General features: G+C 36.9%; 1 protein-coding gene across 7 annotated transcripts in view; it reads right to left on the minus strand.

Annotated features, from left to right (window-relative positions):
* Positions 1-15,165, minus strand: part of STAG1 (STAG1 cohesin complex component) — a 416,143-nt gene that overhangs the window by 181,493 nt on the left and 219,485 nt on the right. For 6 of the 7 annotated variants that reach the window (XR_001739978.2, NM_005862.3, XM_047447229.1 and 3 more), the window contains one exon: positions 3,485-3,689. Coding sequence is in view for 5 of the 7 variants with exons in the window: in NM_005862.3 (NP_005853.2) it covers positions 3,485-3,689 (205 nt within the window). In the remaining 2 variants the exon portion in view is untranslated. Of the gene's footprint in view, positions 1-519; positions 663-3,484; positions 3,690-15,165 lie in introns of those variants that run through there. The other variant, XM_047447235.1, reaches the window with a different exon arrangement.

The raw sequence follows: 15,165 nt of genomic DNA on the forward strand, positions 1-15,165 counted from the left end.
CTTACATAAATTAAATCCACAAACTGTACTACTATGTCCCACTGAGATAGCTATTTCAAATAAAAATAAGGGCACTTAGCTCTGAAGATCAATAGTTAATGAAAACTACAATGTAAAGCTTATTAAAATGGGCCAAATAACTAGGACAGTATGTTTGAAAATTCCAACGAAGGGATTAAAGAAAATATAAAATTTAATTGTTAACAGTCTCTTTCAATTTAATGGTAAAATATATTCTAAAAAGAGAGTTTACCTCCAATGGAAAAATAAGAATATACTTATGAGTGTGGAATAAACAGACATAAAGAACTATATAATGATAAAAAAAACTTTTAATAAAAATGTAAAAGTATACAATTAAATGCAATGCATAAACACTGACAACAGGGACACATATTGAATTCATAACAGGAAAATGGGATATTTGGAAAACAGATTAAAAATACTACTGATAAGACCACTCTGATGACTTATGAAGCTCTGGAACTCATCACATCTGTACCCTACAAAATAACTAACCTGATTGTCTCTCTTCTCAGCTAAGATTTAAGCAATGTCAAGGAGCATTTTATTCCAAAGCCGATAATCATATCTGGCCATAACTGCCTTGTAACTGTCCATGCACATAGTCTTTGAAGCAGAGGATTAAATGTTCCTGCCCATTTTATCTAGTCCCCAAGACTTGTCCTGCAAAGTGAATAAAAATGATTATCTTTTAATCTATTCCTCGTACATATACCATTAAAAATAAGAAGAGGGCAAAGATGAGAACAAAATGTCCTTGAAAAGAGGGATAATTGTTGTCCAGCCTGGAATTAAGTTCTCAGCAAGCCCTCTGTGCTTTGTTGAAGGGTAGGTGACTGCTATGTCTCACATTTTATACAAGTGAGCCTTGGAAGATATAACCATTAATTAGTGTAGACACATGGGAATTACAGTAATACGTTAAAGTAAATTGAGAGAACAACTGAAAAGTTTTATCCTTTGAAAATTCCGTATAAACGTATGTTGTTAATTTGTTTTTTTGATATCTGATTTTGAAAAATAATTTCGAATTTAAATAGGCTACATGATGATACTAATATAAAAAGAACACAGGTGAAAACAAAATCACATTCATCAAGTAGTTTTAAAGGTTATGATGAACGCAGGTAGACCGTGGAAAAGAGACACAGAAAGGCAATGGGGGGAGGCAGGAGACACTCAATTCAAAAGGAATAATGAAAATATATTTAAACATACACAAGATTAGCAGATGGAGATAACCAAAGGGATAAGTATAGAGAAAACAATACAATGAAAGTTACTAAAAATGAGCAAATGAAAAGGAGAGCTGAAATGGCATCAAAAAGGCAGTAAAATACAGTAATACTGCATTTACATGGCAGTGAAGGACAAATGCAAATGAGTTAAAGTGCATTGTTCACAAAATAAAACAATGTTTTAAGAGTCAAAATATTCTGCGTATTTCTATAATATAGCACTCCTCTTATGTTCTTAGAGTAAATGGCATACAATTAACCTTTTAAACAGAATGCACACAAGTTTCTAGATTAAAGAAAAGTAGCTTGCCCCTACAGAGAAGCCAAAGGTTGTGCTCTATCTTGAGAACTGTAAACTAATTTTTGTGTCTTCTTCTTTTAAATGGTCATTTCACAATACTATCAGCCCTCAATTAACTTATTGCTTCTCCTTCTCTCTTGGCCTTGGGAAACCCAGATAATAACTTCTGCATAAAAGTAAATTCGTTAATTCTTATGACAGCAAAGTTGGTTATTTACAAGCAATTTCTACTTTATTTTCAAGGTTTTTTTTTCCAAATTGCTGAATTTCCTATGCATGTGACAATCAAGTAAATGGGCATTACTGTACACAGAAAGAAGTAAGACGAAAAGGAACAGAAAGTATAAAGAAAAGAAAAAAAGCAACGACCAAATGCAGAGGATACTACGAAAGGTTGGCGAATTAGAAAAAAAAAGTCTAACATTATATAACTGTTTGAATAATAAACAGTATTTTTACAGTAACTTTTTAAAAAAGATAAACAGGGTAAAAAATCTTTTTCTTCCTGATAATGAGGAAGAAGATACTCTCAAAACACAGTATGAACTGTGTCTGATGTATGTTCTACATAGGTATTTTTCAACAAATTATATTTTTAATCTTTTGAAAAAAGATAAAATTGGGTAAAATATCTCCCTCTCTTCCTAATAATGAGAAAAGAACACTCTCAGAAAAAACAAACTGTGCTTCATGTTTACTTGGTTAGGACTGTAACTAACAGAATAACAGACACTAATATGAATTAATATGAATTAACTGAGTAAGGGAAAAATGAGAATTGGGAAAAAAAGAATGTAAAAACATATACACAACTCCAGTTATTATCTTATTGGCTTTGGGCAACAGGTTAAGCCAAAAAATAACAAAATTTTAAAGCAGATATTTGCAATGTGTAGTTCCCAAATCACCAGCATCAACATTGCCTAGGAACTTCTTGCCCAGCCATCTGTTTGAACAAGCTCTGTAGGTGATTCTGGTGTGTGCTAAAGTCTGAGGAACAGTGCTTTAAATAAATTAGATAAATGAGAAATTAAAATTTAAATGCAAAATGAAATGTAACTAATGAGTCTAAATCTGGTTTATTATGATAATAAGTAAGATGAATATAGGCAAAGTTACTGCTACTAAAAAAGATGTAATTTGGGAGTATTTAAACATACACTTATGAACACTCAACAAGTATACACACACTCCATTATGAATGAAAAAAATAGTCATTTTAGGTAGGCACAGTTAAAGCAGTGACGGAAAAATAGAACAATTGCTAAAATAAGAAAATTACCTCGTTACTGAAAACCAAGAAAAAAAATGAATATAGTTGGTTGACAAGTTGTCATGATAATTCTAAAAGAAAGCAAAAGTGAAAACTAATCTGTTAGTTCTTCAAATTATCTACAGCCTACCTTAAGAACTGACTTTAAAGATGTTAATATTTGAGTATGTTTAAGTTATTATAGCACTAGGAATAGGAAGAATGTTTGTTACCCTAATGGACAGAATTGTTTCAAGTATATAAACAAGTATTTACCCACTTATCTATAATAATAATGAGCAATAAAACAATGTAATTATGCGATGAAAAAATACAATAAATTTGGAATTTCAACTATTATTACTTGGGTTTTCCAAAGAATTTGGCCTAGTGGTCTCTTAAAATTTCTTCAGTTATAAATAAGGATGTACATTAGTAACTAAACATTCAGACAGACATTTGATGACACTGGCCAGAAAATTTCAATTTTCATTCTTAAGGCTATCAAATGCCAGTTATGAAAACAGGCATAAATTTTAACAAAAACTATTCAAATGACTGTTTTATTCTAATTAAATTTTTAATTAAATCTTCTCATTAAGTTTGTAATCAGAATAAAACATAGTCAACAAAACTAAATGAAAAGGAAATAAAATGTTAATTACTTACCAGCCAGGGTACTTGTATGCCTAAAAGCTCTGACCTGGGAGTCTGACAAACCCGTCAAAAGGGAGATTACTGTGTCCATCATATACTCATCATAAATTATGCTATACTGACACTGTCGAATCAGGACTCCAATAAATTCACAAAAGTTTGAACGAAATTTTTTCCACTGAGGTCCAGGCATGGTAAGAGGATAATCACCACTGTCCTAAAAAACAGAAAAAGAACATATTAAGTATGTCACATTACAGAGTTTGATGAAAGCTTTTTTTTTCTTCCTACCTACATAGGAACCCTTTTTTGCAAAGCAGTTATAGAAAGAAATAGGTGACTTTCATAGCACATTTGATTGCTTTATTTCTCTTTGATTTTGATCTGCCACAACTAAGTAATTCTTAAAATACTCAAAATTACTATTTTAGAACCAGCATCTACTTTATTGTTCTAAGTCTTTGGTTGAAAATAATAGTTCCACTTTGTTGTATTTGGATCATAGTTGAGGTAATCTGAAACAGTAAAAAAAATTTTTTAAAGTTTAGACTAGAAAGGATGATTGCCAGTTGAATTTTGATGAAAGCTATCATGATACCTGTGTCATACCACATCTTTCAATATTTTAAATTGAATTTTTAAGAAGTGAGAATTTCAAAAGTATAAGCATTTCATTGGGAAGTGCAAAAATAATCTTACACATCCTAAATTCCAACCAAATTTCCTCAAATTTTACTATGAACTTCATTTTAATACCACTTCATACACTGGACTGATTAAGTTTTCTAAGAAAACAATCTGAGTTCTTGATATCACCAGGTTGTGTCATCTTGTTTTAAAACACAAAACGTAGAGTACAACCCAATTGGTTAGAGGTTTCTCTGTCTAGTGTAAGACACTTAAGTACAGAAATGGAAATTAACAAGGTAGGGAATGAGGAATTCTGTGAACAAGGTTGCCTGAATATTCTCAATGTGTAGCTTTTTGTCCTTTCTAGAACAAAGTGCTGCTAGGCAAATTTCTTTATAAATGAGGCCTTGAGCTCTACTGGAGTCATAGGAAAGAGAACTAGTGTGATATACAGAACACCAGATCCCAAGAACAGGTAACAAAAAGCAGACACTACAGGAGAACGGACTCAGAGTCAAAATCCCAAAAGTTAGTTAATGTTGGTGTTAGATGAGTGGTAGGGAGCACTACATGACGGGGAGTGTGAGTGTAGATTGGAGAAGTTACATAGACTAGAAAGAAAAGATGCTTCCTAAAGGTATCTCAGCAGCCTACCTGCTGCTTCTATATCACAAAACCCCACTATAGTAGAGTTCCTCTTGTTTTTTTCTTTTTTTGCTGTTCTTTTTTGTTTTTAATTATAATTATTTTTCACTCTACTTTTAGTTCTAGGGTACATGTGCACAACGTGCAGGTTTGTTACATATGTATACATGTGTCATGTTGGTGTGCTGCACCCATTAACTCATCATTTACATGAGGTATATCTCCTAATGCTATTCCTCCCCCCTCCCCCCACCCCACGGCAGGTCCCAGCGTGTGACGTTCCCTTCCTGTGTCCAAGTGTTCTCACTGTTCAACTCCCACCTATGAGTGAGAACATGCAGTGTTTGGTTTTTTGTCCTTGTGATAGTTTCCTGAGAATGATGGTTTCCAGCTTCATCCATGTCCCTACAAAGGACATGAACTCATCATTTTTTATGGCTGCATATTATTCCACAGTGTATATGTGCCATATTTTCTTAATCCAGTCTATCATTGATGGACATGTGGGTTGGTTCTAAGTCTTTGCTATTGTGAATAGTGCCGCAATAAACATACGTGTGCATAGGTCTTTATAGCAGCATGATTTATAATCCTTTGGATAGATACCCAGTAAGGGGATGGCTGGCTCAAATGATATTTCTAGTTCTAGATCCTTGAGGAATCGCCACACTGTCTTCCACAATGGTTGAACTAGTTTACAGTCCCAACAACAGTGTAAAAGTGTTCCTATTTCTCCCCATCCTCTTCAGTACCTGTCATTTCCCGGCTTTTTAATGATTGCCATTCTAACTGGTGTGAGATGGTATCTCACTGTGGTTTTGATTTGCATTTCTCTGACGGCCAGAGATAATGAGCATTTTTTCACGTGTCTGTTGGCTGCATAAATGTCTTCTTTTGAGAAGTGTCTGTTCATATCCTTAGCCCACTTGTTGATGGGGTTGTTTTCTTTCTTGTAAATTTGTTTGAATTCTTTGTAGATTCTGGATATTAGCCTTTTGTCAGATGAGTAGATTGCAAAAATCTTCTCCCATTCTGTAGGTTGCAAAAATCTTCTCCCATTCTGTAGGTTACCTGTTCACTCTGATGGTAGTTTCTTTTGCTGTGCAGAAGCTCTTTAGTTTAATTAGATCCCATTTGTCAGTTTTGGCTTTTGTTGCCATTTCTTTTGGTGTTTTAGACGTGAAGTCCTTGCCCATGCCTATGTCCTGAGTGGTATTGCCTAGGTTTTCTTCTAGAGTTTTTATGGTTTTAGGTCTAACATGTAAGTCTTTAATTCATCTTGAATTAATTTTTGTATAAAGTATAAGGAAGGGATCCAATTTCAGCTTTCTACATGTGGCTAGCCAGTTTTCCCAGCACCATTCATTAAATAGGGAATCCTTTCCCCATTGCTTGTTTTTCTCAGGTTTGTCAAAGATCAGATAGTTGTAGACGTGTGATATTATTTCTGAGGGCTCTGCTCTGTTCCATAGGTCTACATCTCTGTTTTGGTACCAGTGCCATGCTGTTTTGGTTACTGTAGCCTTGTAGTATAGTTTGAAGTCAGGTAGCATGATGCCTCCAGCTTTGTTCTTTTGGCTTAGGATTGTCTTGGCAATGCGGGCTCTTTTTTGGTCCCATATGAACTTTAAAGTAGTTTTTTCCACTTATCTGAAGAAAGTCATTGGTAGCTTGATGGGGATGGCATTCAATCTATAAATTACCTTGGGCAGTATGGCCATTTTCACGATATTGATTATTCCTATCCATGAGCATGGAATGTTCTTCCATTTGTTTGTGTCGTCTTTTATTTCATTGAGCAGTGGTTTGTAGTTCTCCTTGAAGAGGTCCTTCACATCCCTTGTAGGTTGGATTCCTAGGTATTTTATTCTCTTTGAAGCAATTGTGAATGGGAGTTCACTCATGATTTGGCTCTCTGTTTGTCTGTTACTGGTGTATAAGAATGCTTGTGATTTTTCCACATTGATTTTGTATCCTGAGACTTTGCTGAAGTTGCTTATCAGCTTAAGGAGATTTTGGGCTGAGACAATGGGGTTTTCTAAATATACAATCCTGTCATCTGCAAACAGGGACAATTTGACTTCCTCTTCTCCTAATTGAATACCCTTTATTTCTTTCTCCTGCCTGACTGCCCTGGCCAGAACTTCCAACACTATGTTGAATAGGAGTGGTGAGAGAGGGCATCCCTGTCTTGTGCCAGTTTTCAAAGGGAATGCTTTCAGTTTTTGCCCATTCAGTATGATACTGGCTGTGGGTTTGTCATAGATAGCTCTTATTATTTTGAGATACGTCCCATCAATACCTAATTTATTGAGAGTTTTTAGCATGAAGGCTGTTGAATTTTGTCAAAGGCCTTTTCAGCATCTATTGAGATAATCATGTGGTTTTTGTCTTTGGTTCTGTTCATGTGCTGGATTACGTTTATTGATTTGTGTATGGTGAACCAGCCTTGCATCCCAGGGATGAAGCCCACTTGATCATGGTGGATGAACTTTTTGATGTGCTGCCAGATTCAGTTTGCCGGTATTTTATTGAGGACTTTTGCATCGATGTTCATCAGGGGTATTGATCTAAAGTTCTCTTTTTTTGTTATGTCTCTGCCAGGCTTTGGTATCAAGATGATGCTGGCCTTATAAAATGAGTTAGAGAGGATTCCCTCTTTTTCGGTTGATTGGAATAGTTTCAGAAGGAATGGTACCAGCTCCTCTTTGTACCTCTGGTGGAATTTGGCTGTGAATCCATCTCGTCCTGGACTTTTTTTGGTTGGTAGGCTATTAATTAGTGTCTCAATTTCAGAACCTGTTATTGGTCTATTCAGGGATTCAACTTCTTCCTGGTTTAGTCTTGGGAGGGTGTATGTGTCCAGGAATTTATCCATTTCTTCTAGATTTTCTAGTTTATTTGCGTAGAGGTGTTTATAGTTTTCTCTGACGGTAGTTTGTATTTCTGTGGGATCGGTGGTGATATCCCCTTTATCATTTTTTATTGCGTCTATTTGAGTCTTCTCTCTTTTCTTCTTTATTAGCCTTGCCAGTGGTCTATCAATGTTGTTGATCTTTTCAAAAAACCAGCTCCTAGATTCATTAATTTTTTGAAGGGTTTTTTCTGTCTCTATCTCCTTCAGTTCTGCTCTGATCTTAGTTATTTCTTGCTTTCTGCTAGCTTTTGAACGTGTTTGCTCTTGCTTCTCTGGTTCTTTCAATTGTGATGTTAGGGTGTCAATTTTAGATCTTTCCTGCTTTCTCTTGTGGGCATTTAGTGCTATAAATTTCCCTCTACACACTGCTTTAAATGTGTCCCAGAGATTCTGGTATGTTGTGCCTTTGTTCTCACTGGTTTCAAACAACATCTTTATTTCTGCCTTCATTTCGTTATGTATCCATTAGTCATTCAGGAGCAGGTTGTTTAGTTTCCATGTAGTTGAGCAGTTTTGAGTGAGTTTCTTAATCCTGAGTTCTAGTTTGATTGCACTGTGGTCTGAGAGACAGTTTGTTATAATTTCTGTTCTTTTACATTTGCTGAGGAGTGCTTTACTTCCAACTATGTGGTCAATTTTGGAATAAGTATGACGTGGTGCTGAGAAGAATGTATATTCTGTTAATTTGGGGTGGAGAGTTCTGTAGATGTCTATTAATTCTGCTTGGTGCAGAGCTGAGTTCAATTCCTGGATATCCTTTTTAACTTTCTGTCTCATCGATCTGTCTAATGTTGACAGTGGGGTGTTAAAGCCTCTCATAATTATTGTGTGGGAGTCTAAATCTCTTGTAGGTCTCTAAGGACTTTCCTTATGAATCTGGGTGCTCCTGTATTGGGTGAATATATATTTAGGATAGTTAGCTCTTCTTGTTGACTTGATCCCTTTACCATTATGTTATGGCCTTCTTTGTCTCTTTCTATCTTTGTTGGTTTAAAGTCTGTTTTATCAGAGACTAGGATTGCAACCCCTGCCTTTTTTTGTTTTCCATTTGCTTGGTAGATCTTCCTCCATCCCTTTATTTTGAGCCTACGTGTGTCTCTGCACTTGAGATGGGTCTCCTGAATACAGCACACTGATGGGTCTTGACTCTTTATCCAATTTGCCAGTCTGTGTCTTTTAATTGGAGCATTTAGTCCATTTACATTTAAGGTTAATATTGTTATGTGTGAATTTGATCCTGTCATTATGTTACCTGGTTATTTTGTTCATTAGTTGATGCAGTTTCTTCCTAGCATCCATGGTCTTTACAATTTGGCATGTTTTTGCAGTGGCTGGTACTGGTTGTTCCTTTCCATGTTTAGTGCTTCCTTCAGGAGCTCTTGTAGGGCAGGCTTGGTGGTGACAAAATCTCTTAGCATTTGTTTGTCTCTAAAGGATTTTATTTCTCCTTCACTCATGAAGCTTAGTTTGGCTGGATATGAAATTCTGGGTTGAAAATTCTTTTCTTTAAGAATGTTGAATGTTGGCTCCCACTCTCTTCTGGCTTGTACAGTTTCTGCTGAGAAATCCACTGTTAGTCTGATGGGCTTCCCTTTGTGGGTAACCCGACCTTTCACTCTGGCTGCCCTTAACATTTTTTCCTTCATTTCAACTTCGGTGAATCTGACAATTATGTGTCTTGGAGTTGCTCTTCTCAAGGAGTATCTTCATGACATTCTCTGTATTTCCTGAATTTGAATGTTGGCCTGCCTTGCTAGGTTGGGGAAGTTCTCCTGGATAATATCCTGCAGAGTGTTTTCCAACTTGTTTCCATTCTCCCTGTCACTTTCAGGTACACCAATCAGATGTAGATTTGGTCTTTCACCATAGTCCCATATTTCTTGGAGGCTTTGTTTGTTTCTTTTTACTCTTTTTTCTCCAAACTTCCTTTCTCGCTTCATTTCATTCATTTGATCTTCAATCACCGATACCCTTTCTTCCAGTTGATCGAATCAGCTACTGAAGCTTGTGCATTTGTCACGTAGTTCTAGTGCCATGGTTTTCAGCTCCATCACACCATTTAAGGACTTCTCTACACTGGTTATTCTAGTTAGCCATTCGTCCAGTCTTTTTTTGGTTTTCAGCTTCTTTGTGATGGGTTCCAACTTCCTCCTTTAGCTCAGAAAAGTTTGATCCTCTGAAGCCTCCTTCTCTCAACTTGTCATTCTCCCTCCCGCTTTGTTCCGTTACTGACGAGGAGCTGTGTTCCTTTGGAGGGGGAGAGGCAATCTGATTTTTAGAATTTTCAGCTTTTCTGCTCTGTTTTTTCCCCATCTTTGTGGTTTCATCTACCTTTGGTCTTTGATGATGTTGACATACACATGGGGTTTTGGTGTGGATGTCCTTTCTGTTTGTTAGTTTTCCTTCTTACAGTCAAGACCCTCAGCTGCAGGTCTGTTGGAGTTTGCTGGAGGGCCACTCCAGACCCTGTTTTCCTGGGTATCAGCAGCGGATGCTGCAGAACAGTGAATATTGCTGAACAGCAAATGTTGCCACCTGATTGTTCCTCGGGAAGCTTCATCTCAGAGGGTTATCCGGCCGTATGATGTGTCAGTCTGCCCCTATTTGGGGATGCCTCCCAGTTAGGCTACTTGGGGGTCAGGGACCCACCTGAGGAGGCAGTCTGTCTGTTCTCAGATCTCAAACTCCGTGCTGGGAGAACCACTAATCTCCTCAAAGCTGTCAGACGGGGACATTTAAGTCCGCAGAAGTTTCTGCTGCGTTTTGTTCAGCTATGCCCTGCCCCAGGGTGGAGTCTACAGAGGCAGACAGGCCTCCTTGAGCTGTGGTGGGCTCTACCCAATTTGAACTTCCTGGCTGCTATGTTTACCTACTCAAGCCTCAGCAATGGCAGGCGACCCTCCCCCAGCCTTACTGCAGCCTTGCAGTTTGATCTACTGCTGTGCTAGCAGTGAGTGAGGCTCCGTGGGCATGGGACCCTCTGAGCCAGGCGCTATAAGAGATGTGCAGATATCAATTAAGGAAACAGGAAACATGAAAAAGCAAAGAAACTTGACATCTCCAAAGGAATACAATAATTCCCCAGCAACAGATGTCCCCGCACCCCCCCCCCCAAAAAATCACTAAGTCCTGGAAAAGGAATCCAAATTATTTATTCTAAAGAAGCTCAGTGAGATACAACAGAATTCTGAAAAACAATACAGAGGAGTCAGCAAAACAATTCAGCATATAAACCAAAAATTTACCAAAGAAATAGATATCATTAAAAGGAACCAAGTCAGGCGCAGGGGCTCACATGTATCATCCCACCAGCTCGGGAGGCTGAGGTGAGTGGATTCCTTGAGCTCAGGACATGGCAAAACCCCGTCTCTACCAAAAATACAAAATATTAGTCAGGCATGGTGGTATGTGCCTGTATTCCCAGCTATTTGGGAGGCTGAAGTGGGAGAATCACTTGAGCCCAGGAGGCAGAGGTTGCAGTGAGCCAAGATCATGCCACTGCACTCCAGTCTGTGTGACAAAGCAAGACCCTGACTGAAAAAGCAAAAAACAAAACAAAACAAAAAAAAACAGAAAACAAACCAAAAAACCCCCACAAATTTTGGAACTGAATAATTCATTGAATAAAATAAAAAATACATTTGCAAGCTTCAACAAAAGACTGGATCAAGCAGAAAAATGAGTATCAGAGCCTGAACACAGGTCTTCTGAAATAATTCAGCCAGACAAAAATAAAGAAAAATGAACTATGCCTTTGTGATATATGAAATACCACAGAGCACCCAAATGTTCAATTTGGGGTCCCAGAAGGCCAAGACAGAATGAAAGCATTTTAAAACCTACTTAATAAAATAATAGATGGAAACTTCCCAAGTCTAGCAAGAGATACAGACATTTAGATACAAGAGGCTAAGATCCAAAAAGGTCTTCTTCATGGCACGTTATAGTCAAACTGTTTTAACGTCAAAGACAGAGAGAATTCTGAAAACAGCAAAAGTGTCTAGTCATATATAAAGAAACCTTCATCAGACTACCAGTAAATTTCTCAGCAGAAACCTTATAGGACCAGAGAGAATGGAAGGACATATTCACACTGCTAAAAGAAAACAACAACAACAACAAAAAACCCTGCTAGTCAACAGCACTATATTCAGCAAAACTATCTTTAATAAATGGAGAAATAACATTTTTCCCAAACAAGCAAAAGCTAAGGAAATCCATCACCACCAGATCTGTTCTACACAAAAAAATGCTCAAGAGAGTCCTAAAACTGGATGTGAATGAACAATGTTTACCATGAAGAAAACACACAAAAGTATAAGTCTCACTGGTAAAGCAAACACACATATGAGGAAGATAAAATAATCAAATGACACTGCTACAGAAAATCACCAAACAACAAAGAAAAACAATAGGAGAAAAAGAAAGAAACAAATAATATTACAAAACAACCAGAAAACAATTAACACTATGACAGGAACAAAGGGTCACATAGTAATATTAACTTTGAATGTAAACGGATTAAATATTCCACTAAAAAGACAAAGACCAGATGAGTAGATAAAAGACAGGATCCAACCACATGCTGCCCACAAGTAATGCACTTTACCTGTAAAGACACATACAGACTGAAACTAAAGGGATGGACAAAGATATTCCACACAAATAGAAATGAAAAGTGAGCAAGAACAGCTATACTTATGATGAGTGAAACAAACTGTACATCAAAAACAGTCATAAAGACAAAGGTCATTATATAATGATAAAGAGATTAATTCAACAATAATAATTAATAATTTTTAGTATATATGCACCCAACAGTGGAGCATCCAGATTTATAAGGCAAACATTACTAAATCTAAATAGACTCCCAGACTATAACAGAGACTTCAACACCTCACTCTCAGCATTCGATCATCTAGACAGAAATTCATTAAAGTAACACTGGATTTAAACTAGATCTTAAACCAAATAGACTTGACATTTATAGGACATTTTATCCAACAACTGCAGAATACACATTATTCTCTGAGATCAGACAAAATTGGGTGCGTTCAGGGTGGTATGGCCATAGACAGAATATACATTATTCTCATTAGCACATGGATAGACCATATGTTAAGCCACAAAACAAGTCTCGTCAAATTTTTAAAAATCAAAATCATATGAAATATCTTCTCAGACCACAATGGAATAAAACCAGAAATCAATACAAAGAGAAACTCTGAAAACCTTACAAATACATGAAAATTAAAAAACACACTCTTGAATAACCAGTCAACGAAGAAATTAAGGTGTAAATCAAAACATGCCTTGAAATAAATGAAAGTGGAAACACAACATACCAAAACCTGTGGGATATAGCAAAAACTGCAGTAGGATGAAAGTTTATAGAAATAAACACCTGCATCAAAAGAGTAATAAGGTTTCAGGCCAGGCACAGCAGCGCACACCTGTAATCTCAGCACTTTGGGAGGCTGAAGTTGGTGGATCACCTGAGGTCAGGAGTTCGAGATCAGCCTAGCCAACATGGTAAACTCCGTCTCTACTAAAAATACAAAAATTAGCTGGGTGTGGTCATGGGCGCCTGTAATCCCAGATACTCGGTTGGCAGAGGCAGGAGAATCACCTGAACCCAGGAGGCAGAGGTTGCAGTGAGCCGAGATCACGCACTGCACTCTAGCCTGGGCAACAAGAGCGAAACTCTGTCTTGAACAGACACTTCTCAAAAGAAGACATTTATGCAGCCAAAAAACACATGAAAAAATGCTCATCATCACTGGCCATCAGAGAAATGCAAATCAAAACCACAATGAGATACCATCTCACACCAGTTAGAATGGCAATCATTAAAAAGTCAGGAAACAACAGGTGCTGGAGAGGATGTGGAGAAATAGGAACACTTTTACACTGTTGGTGGGACTGTAAACTAGTTCAACCATTGTGGAAGTCAGTGTGGCGATTCCTCAGGGATCTAGAACTGGAAATACCATTTGACCCAGCCATCCCATTACTGGGTATATAACCAAAGGACTATAAATCATGCTGCTATAAAGACACATGCACACGTCTGTTTATTGCGGCATTATTCACAATAGCAAAGACTTGGAACCAACCCAAATGTCCAACGATGATAGACTGGATTAAGAAAATGTGGCACATATACACCATGGAATACTATTGCAGCCATAAAAATGATGAGTTCATGTCCTTTGTAGGGACATGGATGAAATTGGAAATCATCATTCTCAGTAAACTATCGCAAGAACAAAAAACCAAACACCGCATATTCTCACTCATAGGTGGGAATTGAACAATGAGATCACATGGACACAGGAAGGGGAATATCACACTCTGGGGACTGTTGTGGGGTGCGGGGAGGGGGGAGGGATAGCATCGGGAGATATACCTAATGCTAGATGATGAGTTAGTGGGTGCAGCGCACCAGCATGGCACATGTATACATATGTAACTAACCTGCACATTGTGCACATGTACCCTAAAACTTAAAGTATAAAAAAAAAAAAAAAAAGAGTAGTAAGGTTTCAAAGTAACAATTTAATGATGCACCTCAGGAACTAGAGTAGGAAGAACAAACCAAATGCAAAATTAACAGCAGAAAAGAAATAATACAGATCAGACCAAAAATAAATTAAAACTAAAAAAAATACAACGGATCAATAAAATGAAAAGATAAAACTGATAAACCACTAGCTAGATTAACAAAGACCCAAATAAAAAAAATTAGAAATGAAAAATGAGACATTACAACTGATAACACAGAAATACAAAAGATCATCAGAGACTATTATGAACAACTATACACTAACAAATTGCTTGATCATGGTATATTACCTTTTTGATGTCTGTTGACTTTGGTTTGCTAGAATTTTTGTATCTAACTTCATCAGGGATGTTGGCCTGTAGGTTCCTTTATGTTGTTGTTGTTTTTGCTGTGGCCTTATCTGGTTTTGCTAACAGGGTAATGCTGGCCTTCTAGAATGAGTTACTGAGAATTCTCTCCCTTTAAGTTTTTTGGAATAGTTTGAGGAGGACTGGTGTTATTTCTTCTATCTTTGGTAGAATTCAGCTGTGAATCCTTCTGGGCCTGGGCTTTTCTTGGGTGGGAGACTTTTTATTACTGATTTAATCTCACTACAAACTCACTAATACACCATGATCAAGCAAAATTTACATAAGGCATTCAAGGATGGTTTAACGTATGCAAATCAACAAATGTGATACATAACATCAACAGACTGAAGGACAAAAACCCTATGATCATCTCAATAGATGCAGAAAAAGCATTTGGTAAAATCCAACAACGCTTCATGATAAAAATTCTCAATAAACTAGGCAAAAAAGGAATATACCTCAAAATAACAAAGTTCATACATGACAAACTCACAGGTAACATCATACTGAATGGGGAAAAGTTCAAACCTTTTCCTTCAAGAACTGAAACAAAACAAACATGCCCACTTTTACAAGTCTTATTCAA

This window comes from Homo sapiens, chromosome 3 (genome assembly GCF_000001405.40).
Source record: "Homo sapiens chromosome 3, GRCh38.p14 Primary Assembly".
NCBI lineage: Eukaryota > Metazoa > Chordata > Mammalia > Primates > Hominidae > Homo > Homo sapiens.